The sequence below is a fragment of the Homo sapiens genome, chromosome X, assembly GCF_000001405.40.
Source record: "Homo sapiens chromosome X, GRCh38.p14 Primary Assembly".
Classification (NCBI taxonomy): domain Eukaryota; kingdom Metazoa; phylum Chordata; class Mammalia; order Primates; family Hominidae; genus Homo; species Homo sapiens.
This window is the reverse complement of record NC_000023.11, coordinates 38142707-38168041: the sequence shown is the minus strand read 5'-3', so window position 1 is coordinate 38168041 and position 25335 is coordinate 38142707. Positions and strand designations below refer to the sequence as shown.

Sequence of the window (25335 nt, the reverse complement as noted above, 5' to 3'; positions counted from 1 at the left end):
ACTTTGGGAGGCTAAGACAGGCAGATTTCTTGAGCCCAGGAGTTCGAGACCAGCCTGGGCAACATGGCAAAATCCTGTCTCTACAAAAATAAATAAATAAATGAATAAATAAAATCAGCTAGGCATGGTGGTGCATGCCTGTAGTCCCAGCTACTTGGGAGGCTGAGGTGGGAGGATCACATGAGTCTGGGAAGTCAAGGCTGCAGTGAGCCGATATTGTGCCACTGCACTCCAGCCTGGGTGACAGAGTGAGAGCCTGTCTCGAAAAAAAAGTTCAGCTTCTTAGATAAATAGTAGTTGATACAATGCAATATATTTGTATCTCATATTTTATATGCACAGAGATAACTAGAGCACAGAGAAGGGAGACAGTTTGTCAGATGTCTCCAATGAATGTGGCAGAGAGCAAAGGCCAGAATTTTCACTGAAGGTTTCAAGATTTTTATATAATTGCAGGCATCCTAATTCAACAGGGGATAGTAATTATGTTTCTATAGTAACTTTGTTCCTTTCATTCATGGAAATGTATAACTTATAAAATGCTATCGGGGCCAAGTCTGGGTAATAACAGGCTTAGGTCTCTGGAGCATCAGCTGAAGGGCAGACCAGCTTGTCTCACCAGCCGAGAGAGAAGGCAGCTGCTTGAGGATGTGTCAGGATCAAGTCCTGCAGAGGCTCTTCAAGGGTTCATGGGGAAGCTATGACAGACCATCACAAAACAGTATGTGTGCAAAGGTTGGCGGAAAACACTAGGTCAGCAGCAGGCAGATACACAAAAGGGTTTGGTTTATTAAAATAGCTTTAAAATATGTAATGGCATTTAAAAATCCCAGACCACAAAGAAATTCCAAAAGAGAGGAAATGCTTCTTCCCAGTCTATAAATGAGGATGCTAATAACACTGCTTAGTCTAATGGGTGGTTGTGCAAATTCAGTAAAATAATATAGGGAGGGTACTTAGCATGGGGTGGGCATGTAGGAAGGAGTCCTCCAATATTAGTTATTATTTGTAATGATTTATTTCTTCTTGTTTCTTCTTTGGAAGAGCACTGTTTCTGAAAAGCTAGGCCAGTTCAGCTGATCATTGTTAGCTAGAGATAAGCTGGCTTTGGGAAACTCTGAGACTCTTCACCCAGATAACCTATCTTGGAGCCTGTGTGCTTACACTGTTAGTACATCTTGATACAGAAAACAAACAACAATGTATCATCCAGACATTTAGTTTACCTGACAGAGACTAAGTTGCTTTTCACTCTGACCATGCTGCACCAAGAAAATATGGTAACACAATGTAATTTTACATTGAAATCTGTATGCTAATAAATATACTTTCTATAATGTAATTGCCAGCTATATTTGACCAGCAGGGGGCAGTCATTATATACTTGTCTTTCTGTGAAATGTTCATCTGAATTATAAAAGTTTGTCTTCTATCACCTATCATAGTAAAAAATTAAATGTTTTTAAAAACGTAACAGCTGAGTATAGACATCTTGAATGCATTTAAAGCATCTTCCATTTCATCATAGTATTTGTATACTTTATTTTATCAATTCTGAGAAGCGTATTATTTCTACCTTTTAATATCCCTGAAATAGGGATGCATTTCACAATTAGGAGTGACTTAGATTCAACAAAATATGGTGGTTATTCAATTTAGGATTGGTGCATTAAGGCTGTTAAGTTCACACTCCACTGAAGCACGACATAGAATGAAAATGAATTTGGATAGCTGAAGGCAAAATTGTTTAATAAGTTATTCGTAACTTCTTACCCTGAATAAAATGAGAAATTATTAGACAAGACACAGGAGAAAGTATATAAAGAATTTTACTTGGTGCATTTAGTCTCTCAAAGACATCTGTCATTCAGAATCAAAAGGACATTTAACTTTCATTAAGGCAGTAATAGCACTTAATACTTATCAGTTGATATGTAAAGTAACATGAAGCTGAATGTCCTTAATTTGCTATGCCTTCTTTAAATACATTCTCTACCTGTTCAGAAATATTAAGTAGAATTTGCAGAAATGTGAACTTCCTCTTGTGATTTCACTTCAGCTATAAGATGAAATACAACCCAGTGTAGAGTTGACATCTCATTTACTTTGAGCCCTCATTAACCACCCATCCTTGTTATCACTATCGAGGCAGAACTCCTATTACCAGGTAGAGAAACTACTTGAAGAAATTTGGGAGGCTTTTGGAGGTCCAGAGCCACAGTAAAACTGCTGTCCCAGAACATAAAACCATAAGTGTAGTTCAGTAGCAGTTCAAGGGGAGAGTGGACCCAGACAGACCATTGCCTATTTTAAGATATTAAGCAATATGTTGATAATAGATAGCAGGAAGAGAGAGAGCTTGTTCCAGTGGCAAGTGCTCCGACTTAGATTGTAATTCACAGTGCCATTATCTACATGTGTGGTCTTAAATAAATCATTTAAGTTCTTTGAGCCTCAGTTTGCACATCTGTAAAATGAGAGAGTTGGGCGGCTCCTCTACACCTCCATAGCATTCACTTTTACCTTGCCTGGGGCAATTGCCATTTTCTACCTCATGTTATATTTCATGTGTGATAATGTAATCCCTCCAATACATGGCAAATTCTCTGAAATGTCAGGAGCACATGATTCTCTTGCCTTTGTGCACCCCCAACCCCAGCAGTTGGAATGAAGCCTTGGATAAGATTGGTACTCATGAAAAATTTGTTGCCTTGAATTGAATCTGACTAGATGATAGCTAGAATGCCTTTCTGTAATATTCCATGATGCTGTGTTCAAAGCAGGAAGTACTCACTAAAGCCAAATGACTTCTAGTTTCAGCTGGGTAACTGCCATGTGGCCTTCGGTAGGCAGAGTTTGGAAGCATGGGGAGGAAAGGCTGTAACTAATGAATTACCCACAGGACACCTTGCAAGGCCAGTTGATTGCAGGTTTAGCCCTGCAAATGTGAGTATTTAAACAATCTTCAAAACTTAGCAGGAGAGTAAAAGCATTATGAAGGGAGAAAAGGGGAATATATAGGGTGAACAAACTCTTTGAAAATGGAGAATACCCAGAGGCTTTGGTATTTTAAACTGTGGGTGTTGAACCCCAGTTTGACTAGATATTTCTTGATGATGATGAGAATGTTTTGGTTATATTTTCAGATATGGAACCTCCTAGAATCAAGTGCCCAAGTGTGAAGGAACGCATTGCAGAACCCAACAAACTGACAGTCCGGGTGTCCTGGGAGACACCCGAAGGAAGAGACACAGCAGATGGAATTCTTACTGAGTAAGTGAAACTTGGCAGATAAAATGATGCTGTCTCTTTTATGTGAGATGTTTACTACCCAGAGTAGGGGAGTGTATATATGCTGGTCTATTTATGCTTTCAGATGTGGTCCCCCTGGTCACTACCTAACATACTATATATGTCACCTATGTATTTGTTGATTGCCTGTCTCTATTATAATATGTTCACTGCTATGTCCTTAATGCCCAGAACTGTGCCTGGCACATAGTTAGCACTCAGTAAATCCTTACTGAAGGAAAAAGGAGAAATAAGGGGTGGTGAATGATGTGATTATTATGCATTGCATGCCTGTATCAAAACATCTTGGCTGGGTGCGGTGGCTCATGCCTGTAATCCCAGCACTTTGTGAGGACGAGGCAGGCGGATCACTTGAGGTCAGAAGTTTGAGACCAGCCTGGCTAACATGGTGAAACCCCATCTCTACTAAAAATACAAAAATTAGCCAGGCATGGTGGCACACACCTGTAATCCCAGCTACTCAGGAGGCTGAGGCATGAGAATCGCTTGAACCTGTGAGGCTGAGGTTGCAGTGAGCCAAGATTGCACCACCGTGCTCCAGCCTGGGTGACAGAGTGAGACGCCATCTCAAAAAAATTAAAAAAAAAAATCTCATGTACCCCATAAATATATATACCTACCATATACTCACAAAAATTAAAAATAAAAAAAATGTAAAAGAAGGGGTGGTGAGAAGAAGGGAAGGAGGAACAGAAGGGGAAAGAGGAAGCCAGTTGGTTAATTTAAGAATAGAGCCACCCCCATTGCCTGCCCAGGCAGACCCTACTCATGCCCCCAGGCCATTACCTGCACTGGGAAGCCATCTGTGTCTCCCAGGTGGTGCCAAAGGCTGCCGCTCTTGTGCTCTGTGAGTACAGTTTAGTGCAAAACTTTTTCACCCCTTGTTTTTTGGCTGTATTTATCTCTTTCAAAGCTTTTTAATTTATTTTTAAAACTCCCGATCATATCAAACACTTACAGATGCTTATTTAAAAAAAGAGAAGGTATCTTCTGCTTTCTTCCCCACCTCTACCCCATTCTCCTGGACCAATTTCATTCATAGTTTGACATGTATCTGAGTTGCTTTTTGTTGGTGTGTTTGTTTTACCAATCACAATGAGAAGCACTGTTAAGAAGCTTTTAAAAATGGGTGGATCCCTTTGTGAGGGTTAGCTATGTGTTGTTCTAATCTAGCATTTGGGCCTGTACCCCTGCAACTGTTTGGTTGGCCTTCATATTCCCTGGAGACCACTACTTCATGTTAGCACATTCATATCTGTGCCTTAAAGTTTATGGGCATATTAGAGTTCCCCACTGAGTTTTCATCTGTAGATGAAAGGATACCTCTAACTTATCTCCTGGTGATCCATAAAGCAGGAAAAGACTTTCTAGAATCCTATCAACCCAGGCTGTGCATGACAAAACATTTTTACACAATGATTAGCAATAACAGTACAGTTTCTAGTGAGAGGAGACAGGACATTTTGTTCCTACATTCCAATAATCTTCCCCCAGTGCCTCATCTAGCTTAAGTAGTATTACTAGTTATGCTCTCCCATTGTAACTTCTCAAAGATAAAGTTTGACCATTAAAAAATTATTTGCTGTCACATACACATCCCACAAATTCCTTTGGAGAAAATGTAGGCAATCAGAATTGAAAAGTAAGTTGATGTTATCAGGGATTGGGTTTTATTTACCTTTGACTCTTCAGGGTCTAGCACAATGTCTGGCCCAGCCCCAGCACGTAGTAGGTTTTTAGATTTTTGCAGCTCTGACTGCTGTTGAAAAAACCTGTGTGATAAACACAAAACATCAAGCCATCAGATGACTCTATTTGTCTACAAGCTTTGTGAGAATATTCACCTTGTTCTTTTTATGGGTAACTTGCGTAATATGGTTAGGAGTGTTACATTTTATTTGATTTTTTTATTTTTTGAGACAGATTCTCACTCTGTTGCCCAGGCTGGAGTGCAGTGGCACGATCTTGGCTCACAGCAACCTCCGCCTCCCAGGTTCAAGTGATTCTCCTGACTCAGTCTCCTGAGTAGCTGGGATTACAGGTGTGCACCACCATGCCCTGCTAATTTTTGTATTTTTAGTAGAGATGGGTTTTTGCCATGTTGGCCAGGCTGGTCTTGCACTCCTGACCTCAGGTGATCTGCCTGCCTCAGCCTCCAAAAGTGCTGGGATTACATTCATGAGCCACTGCACCCGGCAGGATTGTTACATTTTAAAACAGCATCTCAGTATTCTCCTGTCCCTTTGTTCAGAGCAGCTGTCTGCTTCCAGAGTTCTACAACCCAGAGGCCAGAAAGGCTTAGAGCAGGATGTGGTGGGAATGCACTCCAACAGGATGAGGAGTTCAGAGAAGGCTGTCTTGTTCCCTTTTCGCTCTCACTAGGGCTCCTTGCTGCCCTGGCATTTCTCCTATGACCCCTTCCACCATTTCCTATCCAAGCTACTGCTCTATCGCTCCCTTGTGAGGGAGAAGGTTCTAGTGTCAAGCTCTGAGACAAGTGCTTCTTGTGAGTTCCCTTATTTACTCCTTCTGTTATTTGCATGTCACAGGTGAAACAAAGTCTCAGAAAGGTTACATCCACTTATATTTGAAGTATCACTCCTCTCAGGTTTATCTGAATTTAAACTGTGCTTTCTAAAGACCTTAAAGCATCTAAAGCCAACAGCAGCATGTCTCAAAATAGTGGGATTTCTGACATTTTCCCAAGACCCCTCTCTCATACCTGGTAAACAGCCACCTCACCCACCTACATGTAAGGCTTTCCTCAATGGTGACAATGATAATTCCACGTGTTCATTATTAGCAAATATTCTCATCATTCCCAGAACTGTAGGGAGATGGGGAATTATATGTATATTGAAAAACAGAACGTGGATTTTGATCCTGCTATACTTATTGGTGTCCTCATTAGGCAGCCAAGAAAAAAGATAAACTCACCCTAGCTGTGTGACCTTGGGCAAGTTCTTTAGCCTTTTTGTGCCTCAGTTTCCTCATCTGTGAATCAGAGATAATACTACCTACCTTATAGGGTTGTTGGATTAAATAAGGAGGATTAAGTAAATATATGCAAAATGCCTAGAACCATGCCTAACATGTAAGGTTTATGTAAGTGCAAAGAACACTTTTTGTCATTATTATTATGTTATTAGGATAACCAAGGAATCACAGAGAACTTGCCTTTAGGTCTCCACTGTCCCAGACAGAAAGAACAGAGAAAGTTCTAGCACCCACCCCCGCCCCGCAGGCCCAAATTGCCAGTGACTGCTTGGACTATATTCTCTAATGATTTTCCTCACAGAAAATTCCCTCGTCTTCCCAACAGTGAGGCAATTCAGGTCCCCCCTGGAACAAGAGTGAGATTGAAGGAGGAGACTTGGGCCCTATATTTTTCATCCTCCCTCCCCCCTCTACCCACTTCCCTACCATTCTACCCTTCAGCAAGAAAAAAGTCTAAGCTTCCCAGTAGTTTGGGTCTTCCATTTTCTGGTCACAAACTGCTCTTCTAAAACAGACTAAAGCTTAGGAGATTCTATTCTTCAAGAAATTTTTGTTTTATTTAAACTGGTCTAATGGTTGCCCCTCAGTCTCTCCATGTCCTGTAAAGAGTAGGGGATCGTCACTTGCTTGTCAGGTCCATAATGTCATCTTTCCTGTTTCTGATTTTTTTTCTCTAAGTGTCATTCTAAAAGGCCTCCCCCCAGGCTCCAACTTTCCAGAAGGAGACCACAAGATCCAGTACACAGTCTATGACAGAGCTGAGAATAAGGGCACTTGCAAATTTCGAGTTAAAGTAAGAGGTAAGAGTACTGCTTATTGGTTTTGTTTCCCCCTCTCTTTAGAAGAGCAAAGGGAAGTAGGTCCTCAAGCCAGAACTCTCTCAAGTGCCTACTGTGGTGGGAGACTTGCCAGCTTTAGATTAGTCTCTAATAAGGCTTGGGGAAGTGCCCTATCTTAATGCCTGAATTTCACGATACACATCCGGATGGGCGTCAGTGTTGCCAGATTATTTAAGGAGTTCCCAGGACTAGTCTTACAGGATCCCATAGCTGACTGTCCTAGAAGAATATTATTCAATAATTTTTCCATCCCTGAGCTTAGGTGGCCAGCTGAAGCCTGTGAGTCCATCTACAACCAGGGTGAATAGGAGCCCCCTAATTTGGGCCACCAGGAGAACATGTTTTTAGTGTTCTAGTACCATTGGTATGAAAGAAAATGTTTTTAAGGATTATTTTATGCCTGATGGTTTGGGCAACTAATTGCTAACCATCTTTACTCCTTACTCTTCTGGACTTCACTTCCTCATCTATAACACTAGGGGCGAAACCAGTTGATATCAGTGGTCTCATTGGTATGGATGGTGACCATTGCAAGACTCACTCACTGACCAAATAGTCATCCCTCCTCCCTCACTCATTTCACAGGCTGATGTAGAAGCCTGATTGCAAAGCTGATGCCTCTGCATCCTCACCTTTTCTGCTTACTCTGTGGATGGGAGCTCAGCACTGAGACCCCTCTGGACTTGTGTCCCTACAGTCAAACGCTGTGGCAAACTCAATGCCCCAGAGAATGGTTACATGAAGTGCTCCAGCGACGGTGATAATTATGGAGCCACCTGTGAGTTCTCCTGCATCGGCGGCTATGAGCTCCAGGGTAGCCCTGCCCGAGTATGTCAATCCAACCTGGCTTGGTCTGGCACGGAGCCCACCTGTGCAGGTAGGTATGCCGCCCCTCCAGCCTGCAGCAGAACCTGTAAACCCCTTGGTTCTTGATTCCAGTGCAAGAGAGGTTTCCCTTCATATACTTTGAGAAGTTCATGGCCATCCCTCTTTATCTGAGTGGATGAACATAGTCCCTAGATCCCTGCTGCAGCTCATCTCATCTGCCATCCATCTTGCCCCTGCCTATCCTCTAATTTCCTTTTCATGTCCTCTAAGGAAGAAGCTCAAGGTAGGAACCTAGGGCCAGCCTTTGGTGACATTATGAATCAGCAAAATTTGCTCTAGTTTCCTTTGTTCTAGAAATGTAAGGATCTTATTTATAAAGCTAGTAAATTGCCATGTAGAGACAATATCATACCTGCTTTGCATCACTGGCATGAAAGTTACATAGACTTTGGGCATTTGGAATCTTTCCTCCTATGTAAAATGAAGAAAATAATACCTCATCTACCTCTTGAGTTGTAAGGATTAAATGAGGTCATCTGTGGAACAGTGGAATAGAGCAGTGCCTGGTACAGGCAAAGCCTTATGCCAGCTCTTATTCCTGATGAAGAAAAATTGGGCTGGGTAATGAGTCTGAAACTTGGACTAGCCAGAAAATTATGTATGTATCTCTTGTTTATAGACTTCTCTTTTTCTCATTTCCTGGCACCCTTTCATCTTTATCACTTTCTTTTAATTGAAGCCCCCATTTAGAGTTAAGTGACAGAGAGACATATATACCATCAGCTAAATGCCTGAGATTCTTCAATTTCATGTATTAAAGTAGAAAGAACACACCTATTATAGACTCCCTACCTAAGGACTTCATGCCCACCACCTATGAGGCTATTCTGAATTGAGATATGCTATAAGTGTAAAATATATACCAATTTCAAAATCTTAGTGTGAAAAAGAATATAAAGTATCTTAATTTTTTATATTGATTACATGTTGAAATGAAATATTTTGGATATATTGGGTTAGATAAAACATAAAATCATTTCTACCTATCTCTTTATATTTTTTATTTGTTTGTTTGTTTGTTTGTTTGAGATGTAGTCTCTCTCTGTCACCCAGGCTAGAGTGCAGTGGCGCGATCTCGGTTCACTGCAACCTCTGCCTCCCGGGTTCCAGTGATTCTCCTGCCCCAGCCTCCCGAGCAGCTGGGACTACAGGTGCCTGCCACCACGCCTGGCTAATTTTTTGTATTTTTAGTAAAGACGGGGTTTCACCATGTTAGCCAGGATGGTCTTGATCTCCTGACCTCGTGATCTGCACGCCTCGGCCTCCCAAAGTGCTGGGATTACAGATGTGAGACACTGCGCCCGGTCTCTTTACACTTTTTTAATGAGGCAACTAGAAAATTTAAGATTAAATATAGTGGCTTACATTGTATTTCTCTTGACCAGAGCTATCCTAGACTCTGAGTCCCTGGGGCAGGGAAGAGGGCAGGAAAGAGGGCAGGAACTGTGTATCACTCAGTGTGACATCCTAGTACCTAGCATAGAGCTTGGCACATGGCAGGCACTCAGTATATAATGGCTGAATGAATGAATGTGTGAATGAACAAATACTTCAATGCAAACCTAAAATGTGAAATATGAAAACCAAGATTATAAATCATACATGGCATCTACTAGTTTTTCTCTTATTATTTCTTCTCTGGGGCTAAGCCTTTTGCTTGCCTATCTATACGACATCCTTCATTGACCTTGAACAGCTGGAATTAGTTGTCATTTATTTGCTTAAAGGGAAGACCTATTATAAAACCGCCTTGTCCCATGTCCTGTTTGCCTGTGTTGTTTGCTCTGTGGCCTTTGTGCCCCACATTGCTTTGTCCCTTCTGCACCAAGGAGGCAGACTTCAGAGATTCTGAGCCATTCCAAAGCCAGCCTGGCCACTGCCCATTCTCTTACCCTTCTGCCTCTCTGCACCCCTTTCCCCAGCAGATACTATGGTGCTTGGCCCATATGCCTTTCACATTCCCATCTGTGTTCAAAAGGCTACTTACTGCAATTAACTGGGTCTGTCTGTCTGAGAGCATTTCTTTCCTGGCTATGAAAGCATTGTCAGCCCATGCACAGAGCCAGCTGGAAGTGATGGAGAGTTAGTGCCCCAGAAGCAGCCCTCAGCAATGATGGAGCAATTGTATAAATACTCCAGTTCCCTCCAGTGGGTTAATTCTGGAGGTATGTTGTATATCATCTCCTAGAGTTCCCCAGTGGGAGTGAGTTCCAAATGCCCACAGCAAAAACTTGCTTGATAACCAATTGGTATTGTTTTCTTTCCTTCACTGTCTCACTTCCTGACATAGACAGAATAATGGTCCACCAAAGATGTCCACATCCTAGTCCCTGGAACCTGAGAATATGTTACCTTACATGAAAAAAGGGACTTTACAGATGTAATAAGTTAAGGATTTTGAAATGGGAAGAGTATCCTGAATTACCCAGTGGGCCCAATGTAATCACAAGCCTTCTTATATAAAGGAGGCAGAACTGATGTCAGAGTCATAGAAAGAGACGATGGAAGGAGAGGTCAGAGAGAAGAGAGATTTGAAGATGCTACACTGCTGTCTTTGAAGATGGAGGAAGGGACTACTAGCCAAGGAATGAATGTGGCCTCTCGATGCTGAAAAAGACAAGAAATCAGATTCTCCCCTAGAACCTCCATGGGAGCATAGCCCTGCCAACACCTTGATTTTAGCTCCATGAGACCAGGATCTTTTAGATCCTGACCTGCAGTATCTAAAAGAATAAGTTTGTATTATGTTAAGTCACTAAGTTTATGGTGATTTGTTACAGCAGCAAGAGGAAGTGAATATACTTCCGTACTCCTCCACAGGCGCTTCTTGGGACTGCCTCCCAAATAAACTGTTTACACTTGAATCCTTATCTCAGGGTTTACTTCTTACACAAATGGTTCTGTGTGTCATCATAGGCTCTGTTGAGCCAGAACAAGTGGAAGGTTTCTGACCCATGTGGCCATTTCTGATTACAGCCATGAACGTCAATGTGGGTGTCAGAACGGCAGCTGCACTTCTGGATCAGTTTTATGAGAAAAGGAGACTCCTCATTGTGTCCACACCCACAGCCCGAAACCTCCTTTACCGGCTCCAGCTAGGAATGCTGCAGGTGAGTCCTCGAGGCAGGGCCAAGGTGAGAGGGAGACCTTTAACAGGAAGGGCCCAGCCATTTCACTAAAAGCAAAGGCCAGATTCAGTGCCTAATGCACTTACAGTGAGTTTCAGGAAGTGGCACTTTAGAGCTACCACCATTCATTTCTGGTTCTGGGCCATAACCTGATTAACATTGACTCCTTAGAGTTAACCCAATCGTTTTCCAACTAATGAGGTTTGTCTGTCTTCACCAATAAGTCTAATTGACATGCTGTCCAGGCCTAGCCACAGAACAATTGTCTTTGCCAAACCTGTCCAGGATATGCCTGGCTGGAAGCAATCAATTGGTTGCCTGCCCACATTTTTCCCCAGGGAATTTCTTTGACTCAGAGGGTGACAGCCATTTTTTCTTAGAAAAGTGGTTCTCAACGTGTGATCCATGGACCGGACCAGAAGCATCAGCATCACCTGGGAGCTTGATAGACATGCCAATTCTCAGGGCCCCTCCCAGACCTACTGTGTCAGAATCTACACTTTTAACAAAATCTCCAGGTGATTCCTAAGCACTCTAAAGTTTGAGGGTCACTTTTCTGGGAAATGTGTCCTTCTCAGCTATGTAAATTTTGTAGCTACTAAATGAGGCAACCAACATCTTGGGTGTGTGGGGAAGGCTGACTAGAAACTGTAAGGATCAAACTAGAAATTGCTTGCTTTTGTCCTGAGGCTGGTTTGCAAAAGAGTGGCCAACTTCACTGAATACTAAAGAGGCAGGATGTATGCTGTGCCATGGATACAGTGCTGCACATTTTTTTGAGACTATTTTATTCATTTATTACAGTGGATAGAACTAAGTGCTTAGAACAGTATTGATTTAATCAAAGGCTACAATTTACTTCTCATATCAGCATTAATAAAATGGATAATAATAAGTCTCTTTTCACTCTTCCCACGTACTTGAAGAATTGCCTATGAACTCTGAAGAGCCATATAAAATTTTTGTGAGTTCCCTTGATAGGAACCAAATTCATTGCATCTTTACCCCTGGTCCCCACCAGCTTACCTCCCCTTGTATCTCCTTGTCCAAGCCAGGGGCTTGCTCTTCAGAAAACACAAGCTTATACCTCTGTCTTTTGTGGGAAACTGGCATTGCAGGCTATATTCCATGATCATGCATTTCCTCATCTCTTCTTATTCCATAGGAAAATGAATTAAGCCAAACAACTTGCTTTTCCTCTGTGTCAGCAAACTATGGTGACCCATGGCTAGTTTCGGTAAATTAACTTTTATTGGACACAGCCACACTAATTCATTTGTGCATGATCTACAACTGCTTTTGCACTACAATGATGGGTGAAGTGGTTAGGACAGAGGCAATCCAACCTTGCCAAGCCTGAAGTACTCTCTGGCCCTTTACAGAGAAAGATTGCCATCGTTGCTCTAGTCTGTCCCATCCCTTCAGACACTTGCTAACTTAACAACTGGTTGGATAAGATATTTTATATCAAGATGTTTTGGTGTGCCCTCCTCCTCCAAATATACTTACATTTGCATTTTAACCAGAGCCTTCAAAGAAAGGTTTGATTGACTTAGGCATTTCAGTGAGAGTAATACAAAAGTCTATTTCTAACTTTTTAAACTTTTCAACCAGTTCTGTAACCTCATATAGGGACGTTTCAGTGGAATTTTGGTAAAACATATTTGATGTTTTCGTCTTTCAAGACTTCAAAATTTCTTTTCCCATTTAGCCAAATTCATCATATTTGTCTTACATTACTTTTTTTTTTTTTATTGCCATTGCCATTCCTGATGAGCCCTCCTCGTGGTTGACTGGGCCACATTCCCAAGGTTCTTGCCAAGAGCCAGCTTAGAGGCTTGGAACCTTTTATCCTCTTTTCCCCTGGGATTGGGTGTGGAGGGCATAGGGCAGGGGAGTGTGGAGAGTGGAAACAGGGCAGAGAAGTGGACTCTGGAAATAGTCTTCTCTCCTTGCAAAGAAAAATTAGAATCCTCTGGGGTGGTCTTGGATACTTTTTAGGAAATTTGACTCACTCAAGGTCTCACCCTGTCTGGAAATACATAGACTGCCCTTTTGCTTAGGTTTTCAAAATCCCACTGTCAAGCCATATCTGAATGATTCCTCTAGCAAAGGTATTTAGGTTTTATAGCCACTATCTTAACCCCAATTTCTCATCTGTTTTCAGGACAGTTCAGAGTGAGCAAATAAACTTCCAGAGACAGGCCAGTGCTGCTTCTGTCGGTTTCTAGTTTGATAAGGATGTCTTTTTTAGCCATGCTCATACTTCCCCTGTTGGGTTTTCTTTTTCCCAGCAAGCACAGTGTGGCCTTGATCTTCGACACATCACCGTGGTGGAGCTGGTGGGTGTGTTCCCGACTCTCATTGGCAGGATAGGAGCAAAGATTATGCCTCCAGCCCTAGCGCTGCAGCTCAGGTAGGGGGAAGTTCTGTTCTTAAATCTTATCCCCTGTGAATGCATTTTTAACTGATTAGGTTCCCTGGTTTCTTTCTATTCAGGATTGAGTTCAGGCAACCTTCAATGTTTAATTGCTTTTATTCTGGGAGTGTTATAACCATACTAATCAGTATGTTGCTGTTTGTTCAAATAAATTGTGCAGTGGGTAATTACCAGTGTTCTTTCTTACTCCCTCCAACCAACCGTTTTTGCTTCATGTGTGTGTATGTGTGTGTGTGGTTGGTGGAGGAAGGATGGTTAGGAGAGGAGCACCTGAAGAAAAGACTTAAGCAATCATGGTCTTATTAGAAGAGCATGCATCCAATTAGACTTCCCAGGCTTGGTCTCTTTTTTCTCCATGCTTCCAGAACACTTGTTCATACCTTTATTTTAACAATTATATTTTAGTTTCATAACCCTTACAAAGTTGGAGCCATGGATTTTAGTCTCTGAATAATGATGTATTAAAGAAGCAGAATTCAACAACCAAAAGGTAATTTCAGAATAACCCAAATTTCTACTTGCATCTCTTGACCACTGTGAAATCGATAATTAGGCTAAAGCAAAACTCCTTAAAATCTTCCTTTCTCACCCAGCCTTTTCTCTCACACACTGCATGGGAGAGTACAGATCTCTGTTTTCAGGGTCCCAGGCTGCTCCCTGTCTCTCAGGGCCTCAGGCAGTTACAAACATCTCGAACACGTGGCTTTCAGGCTTCTGCAAAAGTGGGGAAAGAGAGTAAAAACTCACACTGACTCCTTTATGCTTCACGTTGGAGGTGCCACACCTTGCTCACTCTCTTAGTTCATTGGCCAGAACTAGTTACATGATTGCAATTCACTTTTAAGGGAGGCTGGGAAATGCAGTCTTTCTGTATTGCCAGAAAGAAGAAAATGAAATGGGACTTGGTAAACCCTATCACACCTGTTCAGAAGGCACAGAAATTCCTTGAGAGGTTATATGATAGAAACATATCCTTAGCAAATGATGCTATAGATAGACACAATAGCTTCTTTCTCTAATTTCCCTGTTTTCCAGCTGCCTTTGACCCATCCCATGTTTGATTTGTACCACTTTCCACCCAAAAAGATTCTGCCACATTCCTACCAAGGTAAAAAAAAAAAAAAAAAAAAAAAAAGAAAGAAAGAAAGAAAGAAAAAACTCAGAGGGCCAGGATGGAAGAAAAATAAGATGATTCATGAGTTCTCTTTAGTCGGCTGATGAATGGAGAAGGCTGGGTACACTCATATGCTTTTGTTTTTGTTATATTTTACTGCATTTGCATGTAGCACCTCCCCATACCGACTTCAGTAGCAGAGCTTTCAAATATTGGCTACTCAGTACCTAGCACAGTACCTGGCACCATGTTGGCGCTAAGTGGAGTAAATGACTCAAAATTTCATTGAAACAGCCTTACTATTTCCAGAGGTGATAATAGCTTTTAAAAGTATATTGTATATCTACAGTTAGTATACAAATACTTCAAGTTGAAGTGTACAAAACTTAAGACAGAGAGTTGTGTTGATATCTAAATATTTATGGTGAATATTTTCAAAGTAGGTTTTATGAAGCTGTTGCTTATTTAGAACTACTTGCTCATATCCTGTGTCAATGATTTTTTAAAACTTGTTGCAGAATTTTCTGAATGGTCTTTGGATTGAATGTGTGTGTATGTGTGTGTGTATGTCATCTTCATAAAATCTTGATGTGATTTTAAACTGTTTAATCTACTTGAAGAACAGAAAAATGTGATTAAAAAATACTTGTCATTCAGATTGTATATATTGGGGCTACCATAGACTTCTATAGGCTGAAGATAATTTTTAAATACATTATGTCGTGGTTCTCAAATTTTTAACCTCCATCAGAATCCCCTGGAGGGCTTGTTAAAATACGTATTGCTGGAGTCTACACTGTAGGCTCTAAACTGTGTTTCTGATTCAGTAGGTCTCTGGTCGTACCCGAGAATTTGCATTTCTCGTGAGCTCCCAAGAGACCACATGGTGAGGACCACTGGCCTAGTTTTTTACCAAAGCCTTTACAGTTTGAAATAGAATTTTTGCCCAGCAGCCTTCAAGGAAAGGGTCAATCACTATTTTGCAGCTGGATGATAGTCCAGGTAAATGTCATACAGAAATGATCACTCAGGTGCATTACCTAATGGATTCTGTGTCAGGCCGGCATGCCTGTGTTATCAAACATATCAGTGAGAAACAAAGAGCTTGGCAGAACTTTTTCCCTTTGAATTGGAAAGGTGTTTTTTAGACACCTTGGAGTCTAGTGCAGAGGAAAAAAGATGATTTAGGCAAAGAATGGGAAGCAAAAGAGGAGAAGGAAAAGCATAATGCCTGCATAATGTAAAAATTCTCTTGTCTGGCTATTTTCAAATAGCACCAAGGCCGTGATAAAACCCTTGAAGGGAGTCAACAGAAAGAAGAGACTGGGTGCCTGGGGTTGCAGGGTCACCGCCTACCTTCTTTCTTACCCTCATTTCTTTTTTATCTGGAGGTATGATCTGATTCATGCTTTCCAGAGGAATTTTCCAGCAATCTCAAGGAAGACAGGGACCAAGAAAGCCATAGTTTCTATACCCACATTATTCTTTGAGTCTACAGTGTTCCCTGGAAGACTTTCCAGGAAGAACTCCTTCCAATCTGACGACAGACACATATGTAACTCAGGCATACTGTCGGCATCACACCTCATCCCCGATTTTGTGTGGTGTTTGATCATTCATCCCCAAGATTTCTGTGGTCTTTCGGCCCTAGTGGGATGCATTCCTGTGGCTGCTGCTAGCCTGCTGATCCAACCACTCAGCTCTTCCCATGACAGTTTTCCCTCTTTACATTCTGTGTCAATGAAGGCACAAGACTTACACAGGAATGTGTATGGTAGCAGATGGTGGCACCGTGGTGGTGGTGGTGGGGGTTCCCATCCTAGTCTCACAAGCACTATAAAAAAAATGAATGCTCCAATTTCTTATTGGTCACCCTTTCCCACAGGCTTCAGCCACCACATTCCCTATTCCTCTGTTTCCTGAGAGCTCCCTGTACCAGAACTCCTCCACGCTCCCAAAAGAAAACTCAATATCCTTCCCCTTAAAGATGCAGAGCATTTTATCTCTTCATTCACACCTTTGCAGCCTACATTCGCGTGTTCAGAACTCATTAATGCACTTTGCAGTCATCTACTTCTGAGCTCCCCTCTTAGCACTGCAGGAAACCTGGCAGAGGTATTGTCATGTCCTCTTTATTTCATTTCTAGTCACTGGGAGTGAACTGGCAATTTAGCTCCCCACTGGGATAAAATACAAATTATTCCCTTCTTCCTCGAAACTCCCTCTTAAAAGGCAGAAAAAAGTAGTTTGTGTTCTATGTAATGATTTTTTAACCTTGATCTGTTTGTATGAGGAAAACATATTTTACTTTAAATCCAGATGGCAGTGTATATTCTGCCTCATACATAATCTCAAAATATCTAAACTGAAAAAAAAATCTGGAGAAGAGACTGAGTGGGCTCATTTATTCATTGGGCTCAGCTTATCTGTTTGTTTGCTTTCTCTAGCTATTCCCATCTAAATATGTTTGTGTTGATATAAAAATCATATTTTTTAGTTTAAATTCTAGTGTGGTAGAGCAGAAAGAACACCAGACACTTGAAACCACTTCATATTCTTTTTTGGAATTATTTGGGGTACAAATTATGATTAATCAAGTCAGAATACATGGGCTGTAGACCAAGCTCAATCCCTTATAACTCTGCAGTCCTGAGCTGGCCACTGAACAGGCCAGAACTATCATGCTGGGAAATTATATCAATCAGCTTTACCTAGCCCAGAGTTTCTCAGCCTTGGCACTATTGCTATGTGGGAACAGATAATTCTTTGTTTGGTGGGGACAGTTGGCTGTGCATTGCAAGATGTTTAGCAGCATTCCTGGCCTCTACCCACTAAATGCCGGTCACATCTTCACTCTCCACTGTGACAACCAAAAATATCTCCAGACATGGCCAAATTTCCCCTGGGGGTGGGGAGCAAAATCACCCCTGTTCATAATCACTGACTTTGTCCTAGTGTGTATGTGGTCGTGCAACACTAGTCAGCAAACGTGGGTTTTGGGTTGATTCCAAACTTGGATTGATTCCAATTTAATAAAAAAAATCTGTTAGCCTTGTATGCACCTTGTACCAAACGTTGGTATGTGGCACCATTGTACGCCTGAAGTCTTCCTGACTATAATCTAAAACCAAAGCAGTGCTTTTCAACCTCTCAGGTACATACCAGTCATCTGGGGATCTTGATAGTAATGCAGACACTAATTCAGTAGGTTTGGGGTTGGGCATGAGAGTCTCCATTTCTAGCAAGTTCTCATGTGATGCTGCTGGTTCAAGGGTCACAGTTGGAGTAGACAGGGTCTAAAGGATGATTCAGTCCTTCATTGTATCAAAGCTTTCTCTGCACACTGTCACAGTAAGGCTCTGGTTGATCCACCAGGACCCTTGGGAGTCATGGTTTGACTTAGTCTCCTCTTTTCTTTGTCTGCCACAGGCTGTTGCTGCGAATCCCACTCTACTCCTTCAGTATGGTGCTAGTGGATAAGCATGGCATGGACAAAGAGCGCTATGTCTCCCTGGTGATGCCTGTGGCCCTGTTCAACCTGATTGACACTTTTCCCTTGAGAAAAGAAGAGATGGTCCTACAAGCCGAAATGAGCCAGACCTGTAACACCTGACATGATGGTTCCTCTCTTGGCAATTCCTCTTCATTGTCTACATAGTGACATGCACACGGGAAAGCCTTAAAAATATCCTTGATGTACAGATTTTATTTGTAATTTTAAAAGTCTATTTTATTATGAGCTTTCTTTGCACTTAAAAATTAGCATGCTGCTTTTTGTACTTGGAAGTGTTTCAAAAAATTATATGACCATATTTACTCTTTCTAACTTTCTTTACTCCATCATGGCTGCTTGATTTTGTAGAGAAATTAGAACCCATAACCATACACAGGCTATCAACATGTTATTCAATGTGACACCTAACTCTTTTCTATTTTGTTTTTTAAGTAAGACTTTTATTAATAAAACAAAATGTTTTGGAGCAAATTTAGTAGAACTCACTTTGTTTGTCAAGCACCAGCCATACTTGTTCAGTGTGGTCAGTGGTTTTAGGATTGTGATTCTTAGTGGTGTTTTAAGAATGGAAAAAATTTAATTAGTCTTTTTAGGAGCTCTGCTGAGCTGGGAGAGAGCTGAGCTGTCAGGTGTTCAAGTAGCCAATTAAAGCCACAAGCTGAAAATGAAAGAGTTAAGCCTTCAGTCACAGTCTAAAACCAGAGGAAGCATCAACTTCACTCTTCCATTTTCCCCTGTGGGACAGCACGCTGGTCAAGATTCAAGTGGAGCAGCACAGACGTGGGGTCATCTTTATATTGAGGGAGTCCCGAACAAAAGGCTCTGGCAGTTTTACGGACCCTGGAGTCATGTGGTGGGGTAGGAGTGGAAAAGTCCTGGGCACTGAGGCAGAGTGAAGGAAAGTATCTTCAAATTTTTTCCCTTTTCCTTACCCCATAAGATCTCAGCAGAGGAACCTGAAGACCTCTTGCCCAAGGCCTCAGATAAAGGGCCTAGAAATGAAGGCACAGGGCTAGGAATGTAAATATGTGAAAGAGCATGATTGGCCAGGGGGTCTGAGTCTTTGACTGCAACACCCCACAGAGACTGCCATACGCTGGCTGTGCACCAAGTCTGGTGTGTGGAGGGCAGCTTTCCCAGTGAAGCCTGCCAGGTAAAGTCTTCGTCATCGCCTATGATCAGGCCTGAAAAATCACACATTGGTTTTTAACCAGTAGCCAGACTCCTCAATTCTCCCATGCAAATCTTGAAATTTTTCCTCCATTTTTAGAATATCAGTTTGGTTCACAATCTATTCCTAAATAAAATGACTAAGTGAATGATGTTTCCCACTGGTTTCCCACTGAAAATCTTGCAGAACTTTTCTGTGCACCTTTTGGACCTTATAGAAACAATAGATAAATTCTAACATACAGAGATTTAACACAGAAAGCAGATTTAACATTTTTTTTTAATATTAGGCAGGGCGATTGCTGAACTGCCAATAGGTTTACACTCTATTTACAAACATGATTTTGTTCACAGAGCATACTAGAAGCCAGTTTTTGACTTCTGTCTTCTTCAGATGTATCAGAAAGGTCAATGGCATGGCTCATAGAGGAATGTCAAATAGTGACCAACTGGAAACCATGAAAAGTTCAATAGGGGTGGGAAGAGGGTGAAGGATAAAAGACTACAAATTGGGTTCAGTGTACACTGCTCAGGTGATGGGTGCACCAAAATCTCACAAATCACCACCAAAGAACTTACTCATGTAACCAAATAGCCACCTGTTCTCCAAAAACTTATGGAAATAAAAGAAAAAAGGAAAAGTTCAGGAGATCATTTGTTACAATTAAGCAAGCATATATCTGCCTCTACCTTTGTTAAAGCTCTCTTGCTTTGACAAGTCAGCCTGTGCCCTTTGCCCCATACCCTGAAAGGTTCAAACCTTGAAGATGAGCTGACATTTAAGGAACTACTTGGATTCCTTCAAACCAATTTACCTGATGACTTGGAATATTGCAAGCACTTTTCCCAACAAGATCAACAGACTATTTGAAGATCAATGAATCCACTATGGTATTTTAAAAGTAAATACCCTGCATCAAAATTTGGGGACATTTCTAAAGATTAATTAATAGCCTCTCTCTAGAGAACCGGTTTCCCACTGGAAATCTTGCAGAACTTTTCTATGTACCTTTTGGACCTAATAAAAACAAACAAACAAAAAAAAAAAAACAGTTCCTAATTCTGCTTGCTTACAATTTGGTACTGCAGAACTTCTACACATGTATGCAGGTTGTAGTATACACACACACACACACACACACACACATATATATACATATATATGTGTATATATATGTGTGTGTGTATATATATATATGTATATATATATGTGTGTATGTATATATATATATGTATATATATCCAGATATAGTTGTTGTCTGTGGGAGGTTAGTCCAATAGAAACCATTATTAGAAATCTAGTAGTGAAGGATGAACTAGAAGGTGGAAGAGTCCAGTCCATTCACAGAGAACTGCAGATTTACCTCTACAAACTCTCAACTCTTGAGCTTAGATCATTGGAGTGAGCAGTGAAGGAGAGGAAAGGCAGTGCACATTGAAGCAAGGATTAATGCTCAGGATGTTGATACCTATACTATTCCTGCAGTAAAAATTACCCCAAAAATCAGTGTCTTAAAACAACAAACATATTATCTCTCACAATTTCTGTGGGTCAGGGATTTGGGAGCAACTTAGCTGGCCAATTCTGGCTTGGAGTCTCTCTTGAGATTGCTGTCATATCTTGGCTGGGACTGCAGTCAAAGGATTGACTGGGGCTGGAGAATCCGCTTCCACAGTGGCTCACTCACATGACTGGCAAGTTGGTGCTGATGGTTGGAAGAGATCTCTATTTGTCTCCACATGGATTTCTCCACAGAGTGTTGCATGAATGTTCTCATAACATGGTAGTTGGCTTCCTCTGGTAGAAGTGATCCAAGAAAGGGCAAAGTGGAAGAGGCAATATCTTTTATGACATAGTCTCAAAAGGCACACACTGTTACTTCCACAGTATCCTGTTGGTCCAACAGATCAGCCCTATTCAATGGGGAAGAGGACAACACAATAGGATGGATACTAAGAGGTAAAGATCACTGGGGCCTATTTTGAAGGCTAGCTTCTGCCAGTTCCCATAGCTGCTGACAACTTCTTAACTGGGGACATGGCAATTTATTTATTTATTGGCATAAATTTAGAGGGTACAAGTGCAATTTTGTGACATGGATATGTTGCATAGTGGTGAAGTCTAGGCTTTTGGTATCATTATCACCCAAATAGTGTACACATTATACCCATTAAGTAATTTCTCATTTCTCATCCCCACCCACCCTTACCCTTCTGAAACTCTATTATTACTCCACACTCTATGTCCATGTGTACACATTATTTAGCTTCCACTTATAAGTGAGAACATATAGTATTTGACTTTCAGTTTCTGAGTTAGTTTACTTAATGGCCTCCAGTTCCATCCATGTTGTTGCAAAGGACATGATTTCATTCTTTTTGTTATGGCTGAGTAGTATTCCATTGTGTGTGTGTGTGTGTGTGTGTGTGTATCACATTTTCTCTATCCAATCATCTCTTGATGCACACTTAGATTGATTCCATAGCTTTGCTCTTGTGAATAGTGCAGCTGTAAACATACAAGTGCAAGTGTCTTTTTGTATAATGATTTCTTTTCCTTTGGGTATATACACAGGGGTGGGATTGCTGGATCAAATGGTAGTTCTATTTTTAGTTCTTTGAGAAATCTCTATATTGTTTTCCATACAGGTTGGATTAATTTACAATTCCACCAACAATGTATAAGGATTCCCTTCTCTCCACATCCTCGCCAACATCTTTTATTTTTTTGACGTTTTAATAATGAGGGACATGGCTTCTTTATGGTAGAAAACATGGAGTAGTTCTAGAATAAACAAATATAATTGTGGCTTCCCAAATTGGTAGGAAAATTCCCAATTTTACAACTTCTTAGCAGTTCCCTTGGCAGTCCCAGGTGGTTTAGGGACTTTTTTATGGAAGGTCAGCATAAAGTCTATTTTTTTAACCTTCCACTCTAGATAAGAACAATATCCTTTCTCTTTGAACTAGCTTGCGTTGACTCTATTCTCTGTAATTAAGTCCTTAATGATACAGACAGTAAAATTAAAAGCGTAGTCTTGAAACACTGGATTTCTTGGACTTCTCTTCCTTGCAATTCCACAGTTAACAGTGATATCAAGCATCTCTTGAAGACATATCTTATAAGCCATGATAAAATCATTCAGTACAATTGACCATTTTTCTTCAGCAATGCTTAGTCACACAGGTTGAGGAAGAGAGAAGGCATACTGAAAGACTAATCTGGGGGTAGATGGTTGTGACAAAGGTATGGTGGCAGGACAAGGGGAGGGAGTTGGTTGTAGTATTGAGAAAATGGATTGTGTGATTACACACAAGGACAAGAGTTAGTCCAAAAAGAAACTCGGGAGGCTGAGGCAGGAGAATGGCGTGAACCCGGGAGGTGGAGCTTGCAGTGAGCCAAGATCGCGGCACTGCACTCCAGCCTGGGCGACAGAGCGAGACTCCATCTCAAAAACAAAAACAAAAAACAGTAGTGGCACTGACCTATTCAAAGAATATAGGGAAAGGCTAATGATCCTAATGTGGTTTAAGAGTGAATATAATCAGTATAAAGATATGAGAGATTTGGAAGAGATGAAGAAAATATCATTGAAATTGTGATGTTAGGAAGTTGAATAAATTATCCAAATGGGTGATGTGGATACTGGCAGGAGTTAAGGCAAAGGAGATGAGTGAGAGTCAAATTCCAAGGATATATAGAGTGGAGGAGATAACTGTGTATAGATAGGTGACTGTAAGGAGAGCATGATGGAAAGTGATATGGTAGATGGCAGGATTCTCAGAGAAGGTCTTTTGCTCAGATTAGGAAAGAATGATCAATTAAGAAGGAGCTGTGGGGAATTGAGCAGATGTTGACATTACCTCTCAACCAAGTGATATTAAAGTATGAAAGAGCAACCTGCTGTAAGAAAAGCGACAAAGAGGAAAACAAGAATTTACTCAAGAATATTTTGAAAAGATACTAAAGCTATAGGAAGGTGCTATGGTTTGGATATATGACTCCTCTAAGTCTCATGTTGAAATTTGATTCCCAGTGTTGAAAGTGGGGTCTAATGCGAGATGTTTGGGTCATAGGGACACATCCCTCCTGAATGGCTTGGTGCCATCCTGGCAGTAAGGAGTGAGTTGTTCCTCTGTTAGTTCCTGTGAGAATTCTCCTGAGAACTGGTCATCAAAAAGAGCCTCCAACTGCACTCCCCTCTCCCTTGTTTCCTGTCTTGCCATGTGTTCTCTGTACATACCAGGTCCCCTTCACCTTCCTCCACAAGTGGAAGCAGTATGAGGCCCTCATCAGAAGCAGATGCTGGCTCTATGCTTCTTGTACAGCCTGCAGAACCATGAACCAAGTAAACGTAAACCTCTTTTCTTTATAAATTACCCAGCCTCAGCTATTCCTTTATAGCAACACAAGTGGACTAAGGCAAAAGGTCACTTTACTATGAAATGTGTGTGTGTGTGTGTGTGTGTGTGTGTGTGTGTGTGTGTGTGTACGGCAATAGTCCAGAGGCATCAAAGTCTGGAAGAGAGTTGGGCAAGGGGACACTCAGAGCAGTATGAGAATGAGACAACAACAAGACCAGTGAGGGAGACAGCTCATGCCTGTAACTGGAGGATTATAGACATCAGAGACATGGATGAACTTGATAGGCTTTGAGGTTTCCATTTTCAGAGGACAATGTTTTAGTGCCAGAACTGACATTCCTTGTGATTCCTGTGTAACCTATCTTAGACAACCGAGACAGGAAGAGTCAGGTCCAGCCCCCTACCATGACCAGAACTGACCTTATGGTGGAGGCTGGGCCTGGTTCTTCCTGCCTTGAGGTATCTAGCACAGGTTACACAGGAATCATCATCAACTCCACAAGGAGACAGGACTTCCTAGAGAGTATTTGGCTCTACGTGTGGGCAGGGAAATTCAAAAAGAGCCTGCTGCTGTTGTCAAAAGGCAAGAATATTTTCAGAGGTAACCGAGGTAATATTTTTAAAAATATTCTTTCATCTTTTGATGGACTCTTAGTTTGATTCCTTATCTTGGCTATTGTGAATAATGCCACAATAAACATGGGAGTGCAGATATGTCTTCAACACACTGATTTTATTAGATTGTAAGACAATTGGCCAGGTGTGGTGGCTCACACCTGTAATCACAGCACTTTCGGAGGTCAAGGTGAGAGGATTGCTTGAGCCCAGGAAATCAAGACCAGCCTGGGCCAACATAGCAGGACTCTGTCTCTATAAAAAATGTTTACAAATTATCTGGGTGTGGAGGCATACACCTGTGGTCCCAGATACTTGGAAGGCTGAGGTGAGAGGATCACTCGAGCCTGGGAGGCTGAGGCTGCAATGAGCTGTGACCACGACACTGCATTCCAGCTTGGGTGACAGAATGAGACCCTGTCTAAAAAAAAAAAAAAAAAGATTGTGAGACAATTGGATATGTTATGATGGCCTTTGGCCCAACATCAGAACCACCCCGGCAAGAGGATATTAAACCAGACTTGCTGAGTGGATTGTGGGGAAATAGATTTTATAGAACACTGCACAGATGAAGGAGGATATATTGTTCAAGGGTCTGGTATGGCTCTGCTGTCACCCCACAGATGAGAACTTGGCCTTGCTAATCTTAGTTCAAAATGGGAAGACACAGGAATTAAATTTCATTTAATGGCAGACTACCCCATATCATACTAACCTCCCTGCTGATAACAATTATAACTTTGGACAAAATAAAGAAAGAGAAGTTACTGGAACTCATTGGCACTCAACCAAAAGCAGGCAGAGTCTGAAATAACTATGACCTTGAAAGAATGTAAGCACATTGGGTAACATGCACATTTGGTTGGCTTTTCCCTTGAGGACTTTTCCATTTGCTAGTGTACTGGATGTGGAACTCAAGCAGAAGGCTGTACTCTTACTGGGCTGAGGATTCA

The 25335-nt window shown here is 41.4% G+C and overlaps 1 protein-coding gene across 7 annotated transcripts in view; it reads left to right on the top strand.

Moving 5' to 3' along the window:
- The window catches only part of SRPX (sushi repeat containing protein X-linked), a 71533-nt gene extending 52830 nt beyond the window's left edge, over positions 1-18703 (top strand). For 3 of the 7 annotated variants that reach the window (NM_001170750.2, NM_001170751.2, NM_006307.5), the window contains 6 exons: positions 3147-3273; positions 6988-7109; positions 7846-8025; positions 11013-11146; positions 13459-13580; positions 18148-18703. In NM_001170750.2, the coding sequence (NP_001164221.1) occupies positions 3147-3273; positions 6988-7109; positions 7846-8025; positions 11013-11146; positions 13459-13580; positions 18148-18331 (869 nt within the window). In that variant the 3' untranslated portion in view covers positions 18332-18703. Of the gene's footprint in view, positions 1-3146; positions 3274-6987; positions 7110-7845; positions 8026-11012; positions 11147-13458; positions 13581-14009; positions 14096-18147 lie in introns of those variants that run through there. The other 4 variants (XM_047442563.1, XM_017029893.3, XM_047442564.1 and 1 more) reach the window with 2 other exon arrangements.